At 54.0% G+C, this 19407-nt stretch overlaps 1 protein-coding gene across 5 annotated transcripts, besides 3 other annotated features; it reads left to right on the top strand.

Annotated features, from left to right (window-relative positions):
• Positions 703-1557: an enhancer, noted in NCBI's record as "H3K27ac hESC enhancer chr6:31763127-31763981 (GRCh37/hg19 assembly coordinates)". NCBI's record gives its function as "activates a minimal SCP1, AML or CMV promoter by ChIP-STARR-seq in naive H9 embryonic stem cells {active_cell/tissue: H9 hESC(naive)}" and the evidence as "EXISTENCE:reporter gene assay evidence [ECO:0000049][PMID:30033119]".
• VARS1 (valyl-tRNA synthetase 1) lies at positions 1155-19389 on the top strand. Of its 5 annotated transcripts, none has more exons than NM_006295.3 (30): positions 1155-1361; positions 1657-2076; positions 3787-3921; positions 4012-4150; positions 4391-4515; positions 4606-4690; positions 4936-5036; positions 5170-5297; positions 11174-11338; positions 11580-11661; positions 12193-12312; positions 12405-12513; positions 12599-12693; positions 13721-13811; positions 14062-14186; positions 14274-14377; positions 14464-14622; positions 14730-14820; positions 14955-15060; positions 15146-15216; positions 15301-15426; positions 15784-15888; positions 15969-16037; positions 16124-16202; positions 16339-16466; positions 16754-16909; positions 17093-17299; positions 17371-17482; positions 17615-17940; positions 19245-19389. In NM_006295.3, exons 2-30 carry the CDS (start codon positions 1690-1692, stop codon positions 19311-19313), a joined length of 3795 nt encoding a protein of 1264 aa, NP_006286.1. In that variant the 5' UTR covers positions 1155-1361; positions 1657-1689; the 3' UTR covers positions 19314-19389. The 5 variants fall into 5 exon arrangements, with proteins under 5 accessions (NP_006286.1, XP_005249419.1, XP_047275253.1 ...); XM_005249362.3 differs by having other exon boundaries at positions 4603-4690; XM_047419297.1 differs by having other exon boundaries at positions 1155-2076.
• Positions 3702-4901: an enhancer, noted in NCBI's record as "CDK7 strongly-dependent group 2 enhancer chr6:31759783-31760982 (GRCh37/hg19 assembly coordinates)". NCBI's record gives its function as "activates an origin of replication core promoter dependent on BRD2, BRD4, P300/CBP, MED14 and CDK7 cofactors, with strong dependence on CDK7, by STARR-seq in HCT116 cells {active_cell/tissue: HCT116}" and the evidence as "EXISTENCE:reporter gene assay evidence [ECO:0000049][PMID:35650434]".
• Positions 5397-5557: a silencer, noted in NCBI's record as "fragment chr6:31759127-31759287 (GRCh37/hg19 assembly coordinates)". NCBI's record gives its function as "represses an EF-1alpha promoter that drives an FKBP-Casp9 reporter gene in an ReSE screen in K562 erythroleukemia cells {active_cell/tissue: K562}" and the evidence as "EXISTENCE:reporter gene assay evidence [ECO:0000049][PMID:32094911]".

Below are 19407 nucleotides of genomic sequence, written 5' to 3'. Positions count from 1 at the left end.
TGTGACCCTCCTTTTTGTTTTTGAGACGGGAGTCTCACTCTGTTGCCCAGGGTGGAGTGCACTGGCTTGGTCTGGCTCACTGCAACCTCCGCCTCCCGGTTCAAGCGATTCTCCTGCCACAGCTCCTGAGTAGCTGGGATTACAGATGCCCACCACCATGCCCGGCTAATTTTTTTTTTTTTTTTTTTTTTTTGAGATGGAGTCTCACTTTGTCACCCAGGCTGGACTGCAGTGGTGTGATCTTAGCTCTGCAATCTCCGCCTCCCAGGTTCAAGTGATCTTCTTGCCTCAGCTTCCCAAGTAGCTGGGCTTACAGGTGTGTGCCACCACGCCTGGCTAATTTTTGTATTTTTACAAATACTGCAGCTCTGTCGCCAGGCTGGAGTGCAGTGGCACGATCTCAGTTCACTGCAACCTCAACCTCCAGGGTTCAAGCAATTCCCTGCCTCAGGCTCCGGGGTAGCTGGGATTACAGGCGCCTGCCACCACACCTGGCTAATTTTTGTATTTTTAGTAGAGACGGGGTTTCACCATCTTGGCCTGGCTGGTCTTGAACTCCTGACCTGGTGATCCACCCGCCCTGGCCTCCCAGAGTGCTGGGATTACAGGCGTGAGACGGGCTTTCACCACCTTGGCCAGGCTAGTCTTGAACTTCTGACCTCAGGTGATCCGCCCACCTCGGCCTCCCAAAGTGCTGGGATTATAGGCGTGAGCCACTGCGCCCGGCCGTCACCCTTTTTTCATACATGAGGAGATGAGGCTCAAAGAGGAAGCTGGACGCCAGGGCCTCGGCAAATGGACCTCCCCTTCGGTCCTCATCAGGCGGCTCCCTGCTGGGCACCTCCCCGCTACCGGGTGGGGAACGCCCTCCACCGGCAGGGCCGGCCGACCCTCTTGGGCCAGTTCCCTAGCTGCCCGCTGGGCGCCGCCCTCGCCACCCGGCCGAGGACCCGCACAAGGTGCCCGTGGCGGCGCCTGACGGGAGCGTCGTGCTCAGGGGTGTCCTCTCGTCCTGCGTCCGCGCCCAGCGCCCCGCGCCCCGCGCTGTTCCTCGTGAGACCGGCGGGCGGCGAGCCGCGCGGCCCCCGGGGCAGTGTCGGACACGGCGGGCGCGCACTCGCAGGCGGGGCACGGCCGCCCCCGCCAGGACCCGCAGGCCCGGAAACGCTCCCTGTCACAAAGGGGGGAACACGTGGGCGCCGGCTGCCGGGGCGGCGATCTTAGGGAACTAGGGTCACCTGGAGAGCCGCCCACCGTCTCTGCCCGCTCGACTCCTCCGCCCGGGCCGCTCGGCCGGTCCAGCCGCGGCCGGCGCCTGGCTGTGAGGTGGATTCCCGGCCCAGTCTGACCATCTCCCTCCAGTACGTACACGCGGCTCGAACCCGCATCCAACCAGACGCCGACCCGCTCCTGAGAGCCTTCCACACTCCCCGAAGCCCCGCGATGGTGGATAGTTCCTCTTCCCCAGGAACTCCCCACTGACACTGCCCCTCTGAGAGCCAGGTCCTCGGCTCCTGACAGCCTGCCTGGTCAGACCCTCAGTCCTATGGGACTCGGGTGTCTGCGGCGAAGGAGCTCCCGTGAGGGTCCCCTCTCTACTCAAACATAGGACCCACCTCGATCCCGCAGTCTTCCCCTGTCTCTCTTTCTCCTTAGGTTTTTCCACTTCGTTCGGACCTTCTCATAACTATGTCCACCCTCTACGTCTCCCCTCACCCAGATGCCTTCCCCAGCCTCCGAGCCCTCATAGCCGCTCGCTATGGGGAGGCTGGGGAGGGTCCCGGATGGGGAGGAGCCCACCCCCGCATCTGTCTCCAGCCACCCCCGACTAGCAGGACTCCCTTTCCCCCACCCCGCCTGCCGGCCCTGGAGCAGGGGCCCGGTGGGCTCTGGGTGTGGGGGGCCACGGCTGTGGCCCAGCTGCTGTGGCCAGCAGGCCTGGGGGGCCCAGGGGGCAGCCGGGCGGCTGTCCTTGTCCAACAGTGGGTCAGTTACGCCGACACGGAGTTAATACCAGCTGCCTGTGGAGCAACGCTGCCGGCCCTGGGACTCCGAAGCTCGGCCCAGGACCCCCAGGTGAGGGGGTTGTACAGAAGAGGGGGAGGGGAGAAATTCAGAGGAGGGAAGCGAGGACTGGAATGGACAATGAGACAAGAAGGTAGTACATCAGATGTGGGAAAAGAGTGATCAAATCCCAGATTGCCAACTGGTATGGTAACCCTGGGCACGTTTCATAGACCCGCTGTGTCTTGGTCTTCCTATGTCTATGAACACGCAGGCAAGTTGATGTAATGCTTGCCTCACTGAGTTAATAGGATTAAAAGATGTGCGCAGAGCACATAGTTTAGTGCCAGGCACTTTTAAAGTCTCTTAGTAAAAGTTTGATGAGTCTGAAATTGATGAGGATAGAAGTTATTTGAATTGTAGGAAAAGACTGGGTGAGGGAGAGATGACAATTGCTGGGAGGAGATAAAAGAGAAATGAAATGAGGAAGGTAAGTGAGAGGAGAGATAACCCTGCCAGATTGTAACTATCAGTCCTTCCAAAGGAGACCTGTGCCTTGGTGTACTTTCAACTCTGCCTCCTTGCATGGTATTGAGCACATGATGGAAAATTAGTATTTCTTGAATGGATGAATGAATGTGGCAGACCCTGACTTGCTCCCTCATATTGTGATCACCCTATCTACAATAGAGTCCTTGCATTCAGAATGTCTGTCCAAACAAACAAATAAAATAGAGTCCCTCTCTTCTGGAATTCCCTGTTTGTTCCCCTCTTTTATTTCTTTTCTTTTCTTTTTTTTTTTTTTTTTTGAGACAGAATCTCCTTCTGTTGCCCAGGCTGGAGTGCCACGGTGCGATGGTGCGATCTCAGCTCACTGCTCAAGCGATTCTCCTGCCTCAGCCTTCTGAGTAGCTGGGATTACAGGCGCCCACCACCTTGTCCGGCTAATTTTTTGTATTTTTAGTAGAGATGGGGTTTTGTCATGTTGACCAGGCTGGTCTCGAACTCCTAACCTCAGATGGTCTGCTCGCCTCGGCCTCCCAAAGTGCTGAGATTATAGGTGTGAGCCACCACGCCTGGCCCCTGTTCCCCTCATTCTGCTTTATTTTTCTTCATAGGAGTTAAGAAAAATAGGGCACTTCATTTTATATTTGCTCATTTGTTGTTCCCCTACAAGAATGTTAACTCTACCAGGTCAGGGTTCTGTCCATCTGTTCGTGTTTTCCTCTCATTCCCTGGAGAAGTACTTAATACATATTTATTGATGTTCTGAACCTGGCAGTTATTGAGATGCCTCATATAATCTTTACTTCTATGCTTAACATATTGCATCTAACACATAAGTATTGAGTAGGGATTTGTTGGATGAGTCAGAAGTGTTTTGTTTTTTTTTTTCTGAGACGGAGTCTCGCTGTGTTGCCCAGGCTGGAGTGCAGTGGCGTGATCTCGGCTCACTGCAAGCTCCACCTCCTGGGTTCATGCCATTCTCCTGCCTCAGCCTCCCGAGTAGCTGGGACTACAGGCGCCCGCCACCACGCCTGGCTATTTTTTTTTTGTATTTTTAGTAGAGATGAGGTTTCACCATGTTAGCCAGGATGGTCTCGATCTCCTGACCTCGTGATCCGCCCAGAAGTATTTTTATTGTGACTATTTGAGTGAAGAAATGGGACTCAGAGGTGGTGATTTGTGAGAGTGGGGTGGAGGGAGGCCACATGGATTGGGTTGTGGTGGGAGATGGAGGTGGGCCAAACCTTGTCTCACACTTCTTCCCCTTCCTGCCAGGCTGTGCTGGGGGCCCTGGGCAGGGCCCTGAGCCCCTTGGAGGAGTGGCTTCGGCTGCACACCTACTTGGCCGGGGAGGCCCCCACTCTGGCTGACCTGGCGGCTGTCACAGCCTTGCTGCTGCCTTTCCGATACGTGAGTCACCAGGCCTGGGGAAGAACAAGACTGCTCTCCTCAGACCTCACTGTAGGGTGACTGAGAAGAGTCATTTATTTCCTGTTCCAGGTCCTAGACCCACCTGCCCGCCGGATCTGGAATAATGTGACTCGCTGGTTTGTCACGTGTGTCCGGCAGCCAGAATTCCGAGCCGTGCTAGGAGAAGTGGTTCTATACTCAGGAGCCAGGCCTCTCTCTCATCAGCCAGGTGAGGAAGGGCGAGGAGTTGGAGGATAGGGGCTTCCCTGGGGCCTTCCATGCAACTCACTTTCTTTTTTTCCTAGAAATGGCAGAATCACTGGGGCAGGGTCCTGCGGGAGAGGAGGGAGAGGGGGGAGGTCAGCATGGGCAAGACCTCGGGCATCTAAAATACCCCATCTGAAACCTAGTATGGCCGTCCAAGAGGGTCCCCAGCTGGCTGAGTCTGAATTTCTGCACCTCTCTCTAGGCCCCGAGGCTCCTGCCCTCCCAAAGACAGCTGCTCAGCTCAAGAAAGAGGCAAAGAAACGGGAGAAGCTAGAGAAATTCCAACAGAAGCAGAAGATCCAACAGCAGCAGCCACCTCCAGGGGAGGTGAGGCGAGGGTGGAGCTGGAAGGAAAGTTGATGTGTGCGGTGATGGGTTGGCTGATGCCTGGGCCTATGTCTTCTCCCTCCCAAGCAGAAGAAACCAAAACCAGAGAAGAGGGAGAAACGGGATCCTGGGGTCATTACCTATGACCTCCCAACCCCACCCGGGGAAAAGAAAGGTACTAGGAGTGGGAAGGGGCTCACCCCTCAGCAGCCCCTTCTAAGTTTTCACCCTATCTTGCTCTATTCTTGCTCTCACCACTTTGTTTGGTGAGGAATTGCAGACCCCCTGCCCTGCCTCTAGGCCCCTCAAATGCCTGTCCTATGATGTGAGTGACGGAGATCCCGATCCCTCTCTGCCAGCACGTCTCCTTCCCAGAGTGCTCCCAGCCACGGCACTGAGCCCTCCCTTCCTCTCCCCCAGATGTCAGTGGCCCCATGCCCGACTCCTACAGCCCTCGGTATGTGGAGGCTGCCTGGTACCCTTGGTGGGAGCAGCAGGGCTTCTTCAAGCCAGAGTATGGGGTGAGTAGGCACTGCTGCCCAGGCCCAGAGTGGGTGGGGTGGGGAAGGGCAGGACTGAAGGATGTGTTGCCTGGGAGGGGCTGGGAGAGGTGACCTGAGGCCTTAAACATGTGCCATCCTTCTCCACCATCAGCGTCCTAATGTGTCAGCAGCAAATCCCCGAGGTGTCTTCATGATGTGCATCCCACCCCCCAATGTGACAGGCTCCCTGCACCTGGGCCATGCACTCACCAACGCCATCCAGGACTCCCTGACTCGATGGTGAGCTTCTATCTGCACCTTCCTCTGGTTCCCTCTGCCTAGTCTGGCTCTCTCCTTTTCCCTGACAGCCCCCCGAGCCTCTCTCCTTCTGGGTTGGTGCTCACTTCTGCCCCCAGTGGTGCTACACTTCTCTCTGTCATTCCAATCTGATCATTTAGCTTCCTCTCCTAGTCCAGTACTCCCATGCAACACCGCCACTTGCAGACTCTCTTCTATCCCTTCTTTCTTTATTTAATTTTAATTTAATTTAATTTAATTTTTTGTAAAGATGAGTTTTCACTTTGTTGCTCAGTCTGGTCTCCAACTCCTGGCTCAAGTGATTCTCCTGTCTCAGACTCCCAGAGTGCTGGGATTATAGGTGTGAGGCACCACACCCAGTCTCTCCCTTCTTTTTCTAGTAACAATAACATTATTTTGAATTTAATTAGGAACATATGAATATATATATTTTTTTTTGGGGGGACAGAGTCTTGTTCTGTTGCCCAGGCCGGAGTGCAGTGACGCCATCTCGGCTCATGGCAACCGCTGCCTCCTGGGTTCAAGTGATTCTCCTGCCTCAGCCTCCCAAGTAGCTGGGATTACAGGAATGCGCCACCACAACTGACCAAAATATATGAATATATTCTTGTAAGAAATTTAAAGTTTCAAATCTCCTTGACCATCCCCCTCCACACCTACTTCCTCCTAAGATTTAGCCATTGTTATCACTTTGATGTGTATCTTCCCAGATCTTTCCTATTTACTTACATATACACGTACCCATAGAAATTTATAGTTCTCCTTTTGGGTGAGTCTTTTCTATTTTTTAACATAAAGGGTTCATATTACACTTGTTATGATCTAGCTTTCTTCTTACACTTAATACTTTCTCTTGGAGATCTTTCCTTGTCCTTACACACATACCACACATACTGACTTCCTTCTTTTTAATTGTTCCATAATATCTCATAGTGTGGCTGTACCATAGTGAAGTCATTCTTTTTTTTTTTTTTTTTTTTTTTTTTTTTGAGACAGAGTTTCACTCTTTTTGCTCAGGCTGGAGTACAGTGGCATGATCTCGGCTCACCGCAACCTCCACCTCCTAGGTTCAAGCGATTCTCTTGCCTCAGCCTCCCAAGTAGCTGGCATTACAGGCACCTGCCACCGCGCCTGGCTAATTTTTGTATTTTTAGTAGAGATGGGGTTTCACCATGTTGGCCAGGCTGGTCTCAAACTCCTGACCTCAGGTGATCTGCCTGCCTCGGCCTCCCAAAGTGCTGGGATTACAGGCGTGAGCCACTGCTCCCGGCCTGGAGTCACTTTTTAATTAATGATTCATTCTGTTTTTTGTTTTTTGTTTTTTTTCTGTTGAAAACCTTACTCTAATGCACATCCCTGTATATCAAGTTTGTCCAACCTGCAGCCTGTGGGCCACATGCGGCCCAGGACGGCTTTGAATGCAGCCTAACACAAATTTGTAAACTTTGTTTAAACATTTAAGAATTTTTTTGCGATTTTTTTTTTTTAGCTCATCAGCTATCGTTAGTGTTAGTGTATTTTTTTAAATTTATTTTTATTATTTATTTATTTATTTATTTTTTGAGACGGGTCTTGCACTGTCACCCAGGCTGGAGTGCAGTGGCACAGTCTCGGCTCACTGCAAGCTCCAAACTCCGCCTCCCACGTTAACGCCATTCTCCTGCCTCAGCCTCCCAAGTAGCTAGGACTACAGGTGCCCACCACCACGCCCGGCTAATTTTTTTTTTGTATTTTTAGTAGAGACGGGGTTTCACCATGTTAGCCAGGATGGTCTCGATCTCCTGACCTCGTGATCCGCCCGCCTCGGACTCCCAAAGTGCTGGGATTACAGGCGTGAGCCACTGCTCCCAGCCAGTGTTAGTGTATTTTATCTGTGGCCCAAGACAATTCTTCCATGTGGCCCAGGGAAGCCAAAAGATTGGATACCCCTGCTCTATATGCTTGCTGAAGCATGTGTGGAAGGGTTTCGCTGGTGTAGCTATCAAGAAGTGAAACTGCTAGGTCGGCAGGGGCACACCTATATTAAGTACAAACGGAAGCTGCCAAGTTGCCCTGCAGAATGGCTTTGCTGATTGATACCTCCAGGAATTGCTGTGAGAGTGTTCATTTCCCCACCCTTGCTAAGCCTGAGCATTAGGGTTGCCTAATTAGTTTTGCCAATCTGATGGGCAAAAAAATACCTCTGTTGTTTTACTTTGTACCTTTCTGATTGCTATTGAAGTTGTGCCTATTTTCATGTTTTTTGGCCAGTCAGGTTTACCCATATGTGAATTGTCTGTATCTATCTTTTCCCCGTTTTTCTATTGATTCTTCGTTCTTTTTCTTTTTAATTTTTTTTTTGAGAATTCTTTACCTGTTCTGGGTATCAATTTTTTTGTTAAATATTGTAAATGTTTTTGTTGTATTATTGTGTGGTAGTTTTCCTGTTAATTGTAAATGTTTCTCCTGTTTTCTGTTACTATTTGTTTTCACTGTTAATATTTTAATTAGTGATAAATACAAAGTAATATTCTAGGTGACAAATCTTTTTAAAAAGTATTTTAAAATAACTTTACCATTTTTGGAAACCAGGGTTTATTATATTTAAATTTTGAGAATTTTTTCTGGTGTCTTATGTACTAAATTAATGTGGTCAAAAAATATTTACTGGGCCCAACTATGTGCCACCTCTGCTCTGAGCACTGGGAATATAATGTTTGATTGTGCATTTTGCAAGTAACTGAGAGCTAGGAAAACAGTTATATGTTTTATTTTTTTATTTTTATTATTATTATTATTATTTTGAGACAGAGTCTCTCTCTGTCGCCCAGGCTGGAGTGCGGTGGCGCAATCTTGGCTCACTGCAAGCTCTGCTTCCCAGGTTCACAGCATACTCCTGCCTCAGCCTCCTGAGTAGCTGGGACTACAGGCGCCCGCCACCACGCCTGGCTAATTTTTTGTATTTTTTTTAGTAGAGACAGGGTTTCACCCTGTCGGCCAGGATGGTCTCGATCTCTTGACCTCATGATCTGCTCACCTCGGCCTCCCAAAGTGCTGGGATTACAGGCGTGACCCACCGCGCCTGGCCTGTTTTTTTTTTTGTTTTTTTTGTTTTTTTGAGACAGAGTCTCTCTCGGTTTCCCAGGCTGGAGTGCAGTGATGCGCGCTTACTGCAACCTCTGCCTCCTGAGCTCAAGCGATTCTCCTGCCTCAGCCTTCTGAGTAGCTGGGATTACAGGCGCATGCCACCACACCTGGCTAATTTTTGTATTTTTAGTAGAGACGGGGTTTCACCATGTTGGTCAGGCTTGTTTCGAGCTCCTGACCTTGTGATCCTCCCGCTTCGGTCTCCCAAAGTGCTAGGATGACAGGCATGAGCCACTTCGTCCAGCCAACAGTTCTGTTAAATACACATAACATACAATGGCCAAGTTGTTTGCGTTTGTGTTTGCGTTTTTGTTTTTTCAATTTTTCAATTTTTTTTTTTTCTTTGGAAATGGGGTCTTGCTCTGTCACCCAGGCTGGAGTGCAGTGGCGCAGTCTCTGCTCACTGCAAGCTCCTCCTCCCAGGTTCACACCATTCTCCTGCCTCAGCCTCCTGAGTAGCTGGGACTATAGGAGCCCACCACCACGCCTGGCTAATTTTTTTTGTATTTTTAGTAGAGACGGGGTTTCACCGTGTTAGCCAAGATGGTCTCGATCTCCTGACCTCGTGATTCGCGTACCTCGGCGTCCCAAAGTGCTGGGATTATAGGCGTGAGCCACCACGCCCGGCCCTGTTTTTCAATTTTTTAATAAAATCAAGAGAGGGTCTCGCTATGTTGCCCAGGCTGGTCTTGAACTTCTGGGCTCAAGCAATCCTCCTGCCTCAGTCTCCCAAAGTGCTGGGACTACAGGCATGAACCACCATACCTGGCCTCCAAGTTTGTTTACATGAAAACAGAATGACTACTTTTTTTTTTTTAATTGAGACAGAGTCTCGCTCTGTCGCCCAGGCTGGAGTGCAGTGACGCGATCTCGTCTCACTGCAACCTCAACCACTTGGGTTCAAGCGATTCTTGTGTCTCAGTCTCCTGAGTAGCTGGGACTACAGGCACGCACCACCACGCCCAGCTAATTCTTTTGCATTTTTAGTAGACAGAGTTTTGCCATGTTGGCCAAGCTGGTCTTGAACTCCTAACCTGAAGTAAGCCGCCTGCCTCGGCCTCCCAAAGTGCTGGGATTACAGGTGTGAGCCACTGTGCCTGGCCACATACTTCTTATAAAACTCTTAAGGTAGCCACATTTTTTTTCCAGTGAACGTGGTTTAAATAAAATGTGAGACACTCCCATTACTTTAATGGAATAGAGTTATATCAACTTTTTATTTTTATTTATTTGTTTATTTATTTATTTTTGAGACAGAGTCTCTCTCACTGTGTTGGCCAGATTGGAGTGCATCGGCATGATCACAGCACAATCATAGCTTGGTGCAGCCTCAACCTCAGCCACCCAAGTAGCTGGGAACAAAGGTGCACGCCACCATGCCTGGCTTTTTTTTTTTTTTTTTTGCAGAGACTAGGTCTCACTATGTTGCCCAGGCTAGTCTGCAACTCCTGGGCTCAAGCAGTCCTCTCACCTTGGCCTCCCAAAGTGTTGGGGTTATAGGCTTGAGCCACTGTGCCTGGCTTGAATTCTTTAATCTATCTAAAGTTTCTTTTTGTGACTATTGGTAAGGGGGAGATTTTTTCCAAATAATTAGCTAGTTGTTTCAAACATTTTGAATAGTTTATCCTTATTTTACTGATAGGAAGTGCCAACTTTCACAAACACTAAATTTGCTTGTATCTGTTTCCAGGTACTATTTTGTTCCTGTTTAGTAACTTATTTTAACAATTAGAACTTTTGCTATCCTGTTTGGCAGGAGCCTCCTCTTCGTTCTTTTTTTTTTTTTTTTTTTTTTTTTTTGAGACAGAGTCTCACTCTGTCATCCGGGCTGGAGTGCAGTGGCACAATTTCAACTCACTGCAACCTCCCCCTCCCAGCTTCAAGCGATTCTCGTGCTTCAGCCTCCCAAGTAGCTGGGATTACAGGTATGCACCACCATCCTGGCTAATTTTTATATTTTTGGTAGAGACAGGGTCTTGCCATGTTGGTCAGGCTGGTCTCGAACTCCTGTCCTCAAGTGATCCACTCGCCTTGGCCTCCCAAAGTCCTGGGGTTACAGGTGTGAGCCACCACGCATGCCTGTCTTTGTTCTTTTTCCATATTGCCTTGGCTCTTCCTTCAAATCTTTTCTCCTTGACTAGCTTTAGAATCACAAGGGTTCCAGCTCCACCCCTGCTTCTTTCTTTTTTTTTTTGTTTGTTTTTTGGAGACGGAGTCTCACTCTGTCACCCAGGCTGGAGTGCAATGGCATGATCCCAGCTTGCTGCAACCTCTGCTTCCCGGGTTCAAGCAATTCTCCTGCCTCAGCCTTCCAAGTAGCTGGGATTACAGGCACATGCCACCACGCCCAGCTAATTTTGTATTTTTAATACAGACAGGGTTTTACCATATTGGCCAGGCTTATCTTGAAGTCCCCACCTCAGGTGATCCACCCACCTCGGCTTCCCAAAGTGCTGGGATTACAGGCGCATGCCACCATGCCCAGCTAATTTTGTATTTTTAGTAGAGACGGGGTTTTACCATGTTGGCCAGGCTCATCTCGAACTCCCCCACCTGAGGTGATCCACCCACCTCAGCCTCCCAAAGTTCTGGGATTACAGGCGTGAGCCACCGCGTCCGGCCTCCCTGCTTCTTTATTTAGTCCACTGACTCCTTGCCTGAAGCCTCTGCTTTCTTTGGTGCCAGGCCCCACTGGCCTGGCTCACCCTCTGGTCCTCCATGCCCCCTAACAGGCACCGCATGCGTGGGGAGACCACCCTGTGGAACCCTGGCTGTGACCATGCAGGTATTGCCACCCAGGTGGTGGTGGAGAAGAAGCTATGGCGTGAGCAGGGACTGAGCCGGCACCAGCTGGGCCGCGAGGCCTTTCTACAGGAAGTCTGGAAGTGGAAGGAGGAGTGAGTATGCAGCATCCCTGTGGGCATCGCAGCCCTGCCTCCCTGTCCCCTATCCAGAAGACCTCTGTCACCTGTAACCCCTTGGCCACAGGGTCAGACCCTCCCACAGAGGCAGAGTCAGTTGGCTCTAGGGCCCAGGTAAATTTCAGGGGGATGGGTGATCTCCACACTGCCCAGTCAGCCACCTGATGTCTCCCTCTAGCCCAGGCACGAGTGCTGACCTCAGCCTGTCTGCTTCCAGGAAAGGTGACCGGATTTACCACCAGTTGAAGAAGCTTGGCAGCTCCTTGGACTGGGATCGAGCCTGTTTCACCATGGACCCTGTGCGTGGGAGGAGTGTCAAAGCTGGGGCAGGAGTAGGAGTCTCCCCAGGGTGGGACCCCCACAGGAGAAAGCAGAGGTGTTGTGGCCCTCTCTCAGGAGCTGGCCCATGTAAAACACCATGGAGGGCTCAGCTGCAAATGCCACTTCCCACCCCTCGCCATGGCCCTTTCCATATCATGGCCCTTCATGTTCCCTGTCTTGGCTCTGGGAGCTCCAGATTCCTCCAGATGGCACATGATCAGGACCCCGTCTCCCATGGAGCCTGAACTCCCAGTGTCCTCTGCACCAGTACTTGTCCCCAGCTGATTGTCTTCCTCGCCATCTGCAGCATTACAAGGCTTGTTGCCTGCTCTTGTGTTCCCTTAGTCCTCTCTCCCCCTCAAGGAAAGAAGGAAAGTACTCCCCTCAGAGGGGTCTTTGTGCTGGCCAGTGGGACTCTGTATGGGCAAGGCCTCACTGGAGCCCTGGGTGTCTGCCTGGGCCTCCAGGCACAAGGCCCATCTCTCTGACTTCTCCCTCCTCCACCCCAGAAACTCTCAGCAGCTGTGACAGAGGCCTTTGTCCGGCTTCACGAGGAAGGCATCATCTATCGCAGTACCCGCCTTGTTAACTGGTCCTGCACCCTCAACTCCGCCATCTCTGACATTGAGGTGCGCCCCCCAACCTGGCCTGTCTCCATCTCCAATCTACCCTGGCCCTGGCCCTGGCCCCTGGGCCACGCCTCTAAATACCCATTTTACAGGTGGATAAGAAGGAGCTGACAGGTCGCACCCTGCTCTCCGTGCCTGGCTACAAGGAGAAGGTGGAGTTCGGGGTCCTCGTGTCCTTTGCCTATAAGGTCCAAGGCTCAGGTAGGAGCCAGGGGCACCAGGATCCTGGGCTGGGAGTGGCAGGAAGGGGCCAAGGCCAAGACCACAAGGCCTTCTGTCACCCCAGATAGCGACGAGGAGGTGGTGGTGGCAACAACTCGGATCGAGACAATGCTGGGAGATGTGGCTGTAGCTGTGCACCCCAAAGATACCAGATACCAGGTGGGGGACTGTCCACAGTTAGGGAAGGAGTTCTGGCCAAAAAGGGCTCCCATCCTTATGGGGTGGAGGGGTTGGACTTAGGCCCCTGGCTGAGGAGAGGAAACTGGGTTAGAAACTGGTCTTCAGCTTCTTTCCCAGCTCTGAGGGTAGAGCTATTGGGGACTGTTTGGGGGAGTTCAAGTGTTGGGATAGTCAGGGCCCTGGAAAGGAAGGACTTGGGCCCAGCCCTTCGTGCATTTTTAAAAAGTTAAATAGCCAGGCACGGTGGCTCATGCCTGTAATCCCAGCGCTTTGGGAGGCTGAGGCAGGTGAATCATAAGGTCACGAGTTCGAGACTAGCCTGGCCAACATAGTGAAACCCCATCTCTACTAAAAATACAAAAAATTAGCCAGTTGTAGTGGCGGGTGCCTGTAATCTCAGCTACTCAGGAGGCTGAGGCAGGAGAATCGCTTGAACCTGGGATGCGGAGGTTGCAGTGAGCTGAGATCACTCTGCTGCACTCCAGCCTTGGTGACAGAGCGAGACTCCGTCTCAAAAAAAAAAAAAAAGTTAAATAGAGACAAGGTCTCACTCTGTTAACCATGCTGATCTTGAACTCCTGGCCTCAAGGAAGCCTCCTGCCCCAGCCTCCCAAAGTGTGGGGGTTAGAGATGTGAGCCATGGCACCAGGCCCCTTCATGCTTTTATTTATTTATTTATTTTTGAGAGAGGGTCTCACTCTATCGCCCAGGCTAGAGTGCAGTGGCACCATCTTGGCTCACTGCAACCTCCACCTCCCGGGTTCAAGCAGTACTTGTGCCTCAGCCTCTTGAGTAGCTGAGATTACAGGCACGCGTCACCACACCTGGCTAATTTTTTTTTTGTATTTTTAGTAGAGACTAGGTTTCCCCATGTTGGCCAGGCTGGTCTCCAACTCCCGGCCTCAAGTGATCTGCCCACCTCAGCCTCCCAAAGTTCTGGGATTACAGGTGGGAATCACGGCGTCTGGCCCTGCTTCATGCGTTTTTGGTATCTTTCCGCCCCCAGCACCTGAAGGGGAAGAACGTGATCCACCCATTCCTGTCTCGGAGCCTTCCCATTGTCTTCGATGAATTTGTGGACATGGACTTTGGCACAGGTGGGCAAGGGGCTGGTCCTGTGGGGAGAGGAAAAGACTGGAGCTGCACCCTAGCTGTCCATCTTCTCTCAGAGAAAAAGAAAATAAGCTTCAGCCAAATAGACAGAGCTTGGGGTGGTTCTCAAGGGACTGTATTAGACAAGTGGGGGCCAGGAGTGGTCTCGGAGCTACATCCTTCAGCAAAAGAGGTGAGTGTAGGAAGGAACTCCGTGGAGTCCCTCATGACCTGGGCATCCTGATGTACACCCAGGTGCTGTGAAGATCACCCCCGCACATGACCAAAATGACTATGAAGTTGGGCAGCGGCACGGGCTGGAGGCCATCAGCATCATGGACTCCCGGGGGGCCCTCATCAATGTGCCTCCGCCTTTCCTGGTGAGGCTGCCTGAGGCAAGAGTGCCCGGGTCAGGGAGATGGAGGGATGGCTGGGCATCGCCATGATGAGGCCTCATTCCTACCCAGGGCCTGCCCAGGTTTGAGGCCAGGAAAGCGGTGCTGGTGGCGCTGAAGGAGCGGGGACTGTTCCGTGGCATTGAGGACAACCCCATGGTGGTGCCACTTTGCAAGTGAGGGTGGGGGCCTGGGACGGGAGGAAGATGGAGGGCTCCTCAGGGTTTTACCGCCTGGCCTTCTCACCTACGTGTACCCCCAGCCGGTCGAAGGACGTGGTAGAGCCTCTGCTGCGGCCGCAGTGGTACGTTCGCTGCGGGGAGATGGCCCAGGCTGCCAGCGCCGCTGTGACTCGGGGTGACCTCCGCATCCTGCCTGAGGCCCATCAGCGCACATGGCATGCCTGGATGGACAACATCCGGTGTGTAGGGTCCTCAGTGTGGGAGGGGCTTGCCGAGGGCTGAGCAGGGCTCACTCGGGCCAGGCTCCATCAGGCCCTCCCTGATTTCTCCTCCCCGACATTTGCAGGGAGTGGTGCATTTCCAGGCAGCTGTGGTGGGGCCATCGCATCCCAGCCTACTTTGTCACTGTCAGTGACCCAGCGGTGCCCCCTGGGGAGGTGAGCAGAGGGCCAGAGCTAGCTGCTGGGACACCCTGCTGGAGTGGTGGGTTTACTGGGTCCTTGGTGGGGGGAGGGGCAGGGTGAGCCAGAAGCAGACACACCCCCTTGGGTAATCACTGCACCTGTGGCAGGACCCTGATGGGCGGTACTGGGTGAGTGGACGCAATGAGGCGGAGGCCCGGGAGAAGGCAGCCAAGGAGTTCGGAGTGTCCCCTGACAAGATCAGTCTCCAGCAAGGCAAGGCGGGGCTTTGAGGGTCTGGAGGGAGTTGTGGGGGGCAGAGCTCCACTCCCTCTGACCTCTGACCTTTGGCCTCTCTCAGATGAGGATGTATTGGATACCTGGTTCTCCTCTGGCCTCTTCCCCTTATCCATTTTGGGCTGGCCCAACCAGGTGTGTTCCTGGGGCCGGGGCTTGGCGGGACAGGGGACTGGAGGGTGGGTGTTGGCTCCCCTTCACACCCTGGTCTGCCCTCAGTCAGAAGACCTGAGTGTGTTCTACCCCGGGACACTGCTGGAGACCGGTCATGACATCCTCTTCTTCTGGGTGGCCCGGATGGTCATGCTGGGCCTGAAGCTCACGGGCAGGCTGCCCTTTAGAGAGGTGCGGAGACAGCCGAGACCCTCCCATCGCCCCCAGCCTCCTCTCCTACCGTCCTGTGCTGCAGCGCAGACCCCGCGTGGCTGGGGCATGGGGTTAGCTGTGGGCAGGCCTGACCCGGGGGCTGGTGTGGGGTTGAAATCCAGCCTGGGCCCTGCTCAGTGATTCCTGTGCCCAGGGCTTCATCTTCCCAGAGGAAGGAGTGCTTCTGATTCACATAAAGGCGCTCAACGAGCTCTTGGGGACACTCAGTGGGACCTGAGGTTCACAGTGGGGTAGACCAGACACAGTCCTGGTCGGGGCACTGAGGCCGGGGAAGGAGAGGACTGAGTCTCATGGGCCTCCCCACCTGCTCTGCAGGTCTACCTCCATGCCATCGTGCGAGATGCTCACGGCCGGAAGATGAGCAAGTCTCTAGGCAATGTCATCGATCCCCTGGACGTCATCTATGGAATCTCCCTGCAGGTGGGCTGGGTGCTGGGCCAGCCAGGAAGGGCCGTGGGGCTGTGGTCACAGCCACCTGACTGCTCCCACTCCACCCTCAGGGCCTCCACAACCAGCTGCTGAACAGCAACCTGGATCCCAGCGAGGTGGAGAAGGCCAAAGAAGGGCAGGTATGGAGGGTTGGGCTGGGCTAAGCAGGAGCACAGCGTGGATGGGGCTGGCTGAGGACGCTCCTCCCCCTGCCTCTTCCCTGTAGAAAGCTGACTTCCCAGCGGGGATTCCTGAATGTGGCACCGATGCTCTCCGGTTTGGATTATGTGCCTACATGTCCCAGGGTATGGCCCCCAAAGCGTCCCTCCCAGCCACTCCTTCCTCCTTCTGTGAGGCCCATCCCTCTTCTCCACCCTGAGCCTCTGGTGGGCATGGGCTGGGAAGAGGGTGATGAGGACTCACATCTCACCCCCGACCCAGGTCGTGACATCAACCTGGATGTGAACCGGATACTGGGTTACCGCCACTTCTGCAACAAGCTCTGGAATGCCACCAAGTTTGCCCTTCGTGGCCTTGGGAAGGGTTTTGTGCCCTCACCCACCTCCCAGGTAAGGGCCTGGTGGGCAGCAAAGCTGGCAGCACTCACACAGGCTGTACCCCTGTCCGGAGCAGCCTCCATGTAGCTGGGGGGACAGATAGACACAGAGACAGACAGTTAAAGGGAAAGCCCAGCGCATTGGGGGCTGGGGCCTGTCACTTCTTCCCAGATCCTGGCACATAGGTGGTTGCTTTGGACTCATCAGACTCTGGATGAAGATTTGCCCATGACTCCTGCCCCCATGGGGTTCTGGCACCCTCCCCTGGCCCGCCGGCTGATACACCCTCTCTCCCCAAGCCCGGAGGCCATGAGAGCCTGGTGGACCGCTGGATCCGCAGCCGCCTGACAGAGGCTGTGAGGCTCAGCAATCAAGGCTTCCAGGCCTACGACTTCCCGGCCGTCACCACTGCCCAGTACAGCTTCTGGCTCTATGAGCTCTGTGATGTCTACTTGGTGAGAAGGAGCACAGCGGGGCAGGGGATGGTGGGGGCAGGTGGGCAGCAGAGCCCTGGGCTCAGTTTTGCCAGAGTTGGCCTTGAGACCTAAGCCAACCCATCCCCTTCCCAGTCCTCACAGGCACAGCGAGGGCTCAAGGCTAGACCTCCAGCCGTGAGCCCTGTACCTCTCGTCCCCTAGGAGTGCCTGAAACCTGTACTGAATGGGGTGGACCAGGTGGCAGCTGAGTGTGCCCGCCAGACCCTGTACACTTGCCTGGACGTTGGCCTGCGGCTGCTCTCACCCTTCATGCCCTTCGTGACGGAGGAGCTGTTCCAGAGGCTGCCCCGGAGGATGCCGCAAGCTCCCCCTAGCCTCTGTGTTACCCCCTACCCGGAGCCCTCAGAGGTATGGCATGGCCTGGAGAGGGGAGTCTGACCTGCCCTCCAGGCCCCCTCACCCCCTCCTCCACCCCACAGTGCTCCTGGAAGGACCCCGAGGCAGAAGCCGCCCTTGAGCTGGCGCTAAGCATCACGCGAGCCGTGCGCTCCCTGCGGGCCGACTACAACCTCACCCGGATCCGGCCTGACTGTGAGCCTCAGGCCCCCATGTCCGCCCCATCCCACTGTCCCCTCAGCCTACTCTGGGACCCAGTGTCCGGCAGTGACTGCTTGGTTTCCTGTCTCCATGGAGCTAGGCCTCACCTTTCTCCCTCCCTGGCAGGTTTCCTGGAAGTGGCGGATGAGGCCACGGGCGCCCTGGCATCGGCGGTGTCGGGCTACGTGCAGGCCCTGGCCAGCGCAGGTGTGGTGGCTGTTCTGGCCCTGGGGGCTCCCGCCCCCCAGGGTTGCGCTGTGGCTCTGGCTTCTGATCGCTGCTCCATCCACCTGCAGCTTCAGGGGCTGGTGGACCCTGCACGGGAGCTGGGCAAGCTGCAAGCCAAGCGAGTTGAGGCCCAGCGGCAGGCCCAGCGTCTGCGGGAACGCCGTGCTGCCTCGGGCTATCCTGTCAAGGTGCCGCTCGAAGTCCAGGAGGCAGATGAAGCCAAGGTGTGTGGCCTGGGTGGGCATTTCCCACACCATCCCCTTCCTCCATCAAAACCCTGGTCTGGGCTGGTCCGAGTGCAGTGGTGTTGACAACTAATTGATCGTAACCAGTTACAGATTTCTTTGTTCCTTCTCCACTCCCACTAGCCTTAAAAAACAAAACAGCCTGGCTCAGTGGCTCACACCTGTAATCCCAGAAATTTGGGAGGCCAAGGTGGGTGGATCACTTGAGCCCAGGGGTTTGAGACCAGCCAACATGGTGAAATCCCATCTCTACAACAAAAATACAAAAATTAGCTGGCCATAGTGGCACACACTTGGGGTCCCAGCTACTCGGGGGGCTGAGGTGGGCGGATTGCTTGAGCCTGGGAGGTCAAGACTGCAGTGAGCCGAGATCATGCCACTGCACTTGAGCCTGGGCAACAGAGAGAAGACCCTGTCTGGAAAAAAAACAAAACAAAACAAAAACCAATCCTGGTCTGGAAGCTGGACTCTGTACCCAACCCTGGGGAATCCACTGGGGAGCATGGAGCCCAGGCGCTTTGAGCAGGGACCATAGAAGGCCCTCCCCTTACACATGGGGAGCAGCTGGGGGCTGGGCACAACCCAGGGTCACACAACAGGTGGGAGACGGAGGCTGACCTAGAACCAGGCATCCTATCTCCCAGCCAGACCCTTCGTACCCCACCCAGCTGCCCAAAATGTGGAAACCTGCATGCCTGGGGCTGGGCTTGGGGTCCACATGTAGTCGGGGAGCCCTGGGCCTCCCACCACTTACTTTCAAGCCTACTGGGCTGACCCTGGAAGGCCAGTCTTGTTTGTCCCCTGCCTCCTGGGTTCCGCCAGAGAGAAGCAGTGGAGTAAACTGCACAGACACAGAGAAAACCAGTCATGGAGGCCAAGAGCTAGAGAGCCTTGAGTGGACGTGGTTAATCTCACTTGGTTCTCCCAAGAGCCCTGGGAGGGGGGCAATATCATCATCATCATCTGACAAATGAAGTGACCGGCCTGGGAGACTGTGCTCTCCTGCTTAGGTGGGGACACTGAATGGGGAACACGTAGGCTCTGAGGTTCCTTTGTTCTTGGGGACTCACCACTTGGTGGAAAAAGGCAAGACCCAAGAGGTGGTGGTGGAAGTGGGGGTGCTGGTGGGAATGGGTGGGGAGCCAGGCCAGCCAGGTTCACGCCTCCTCTGAGCTACTGACCTCCCATGGTCCTCGCTCATCTTTCCAACTTTGTTGTCCTGGGTGTTTGGGGGTCTCTTCACTTGGACCTGGGTCCTCACCCACCCCCTGGTTCCACTCCAGCTCCAACAGACAGAAGCAGAGCTCAGGAAGGTGGATGAGGCCATCGCCCTATTCCAGAAGATGCTGTGATCCACCACCCAGCTTCACCCCTCACCCCCAGCGGCTCACCATGGGGATGGCAGCAATAAAATATTTTCCCACAAAATCCTCTTGTCGTCTGTGG

This window comes from Homo sapiens, chromosome 6 (genome assembly GCF_000001405.40).
Source record: "Homo sapiens chromosome 6, GRCh38.p14 Primary Assembly".
NCBI classification, from domain to species: Eukaryota; Metazoa; Chordata; class Mammalia; order Primates; family Hominidae; genus Homo; species Homo sapiens.
Note: the sequence above shows the minus strand (reverse complement) of the source record. Positions and strands in the feature narration are given on the sequence as shown.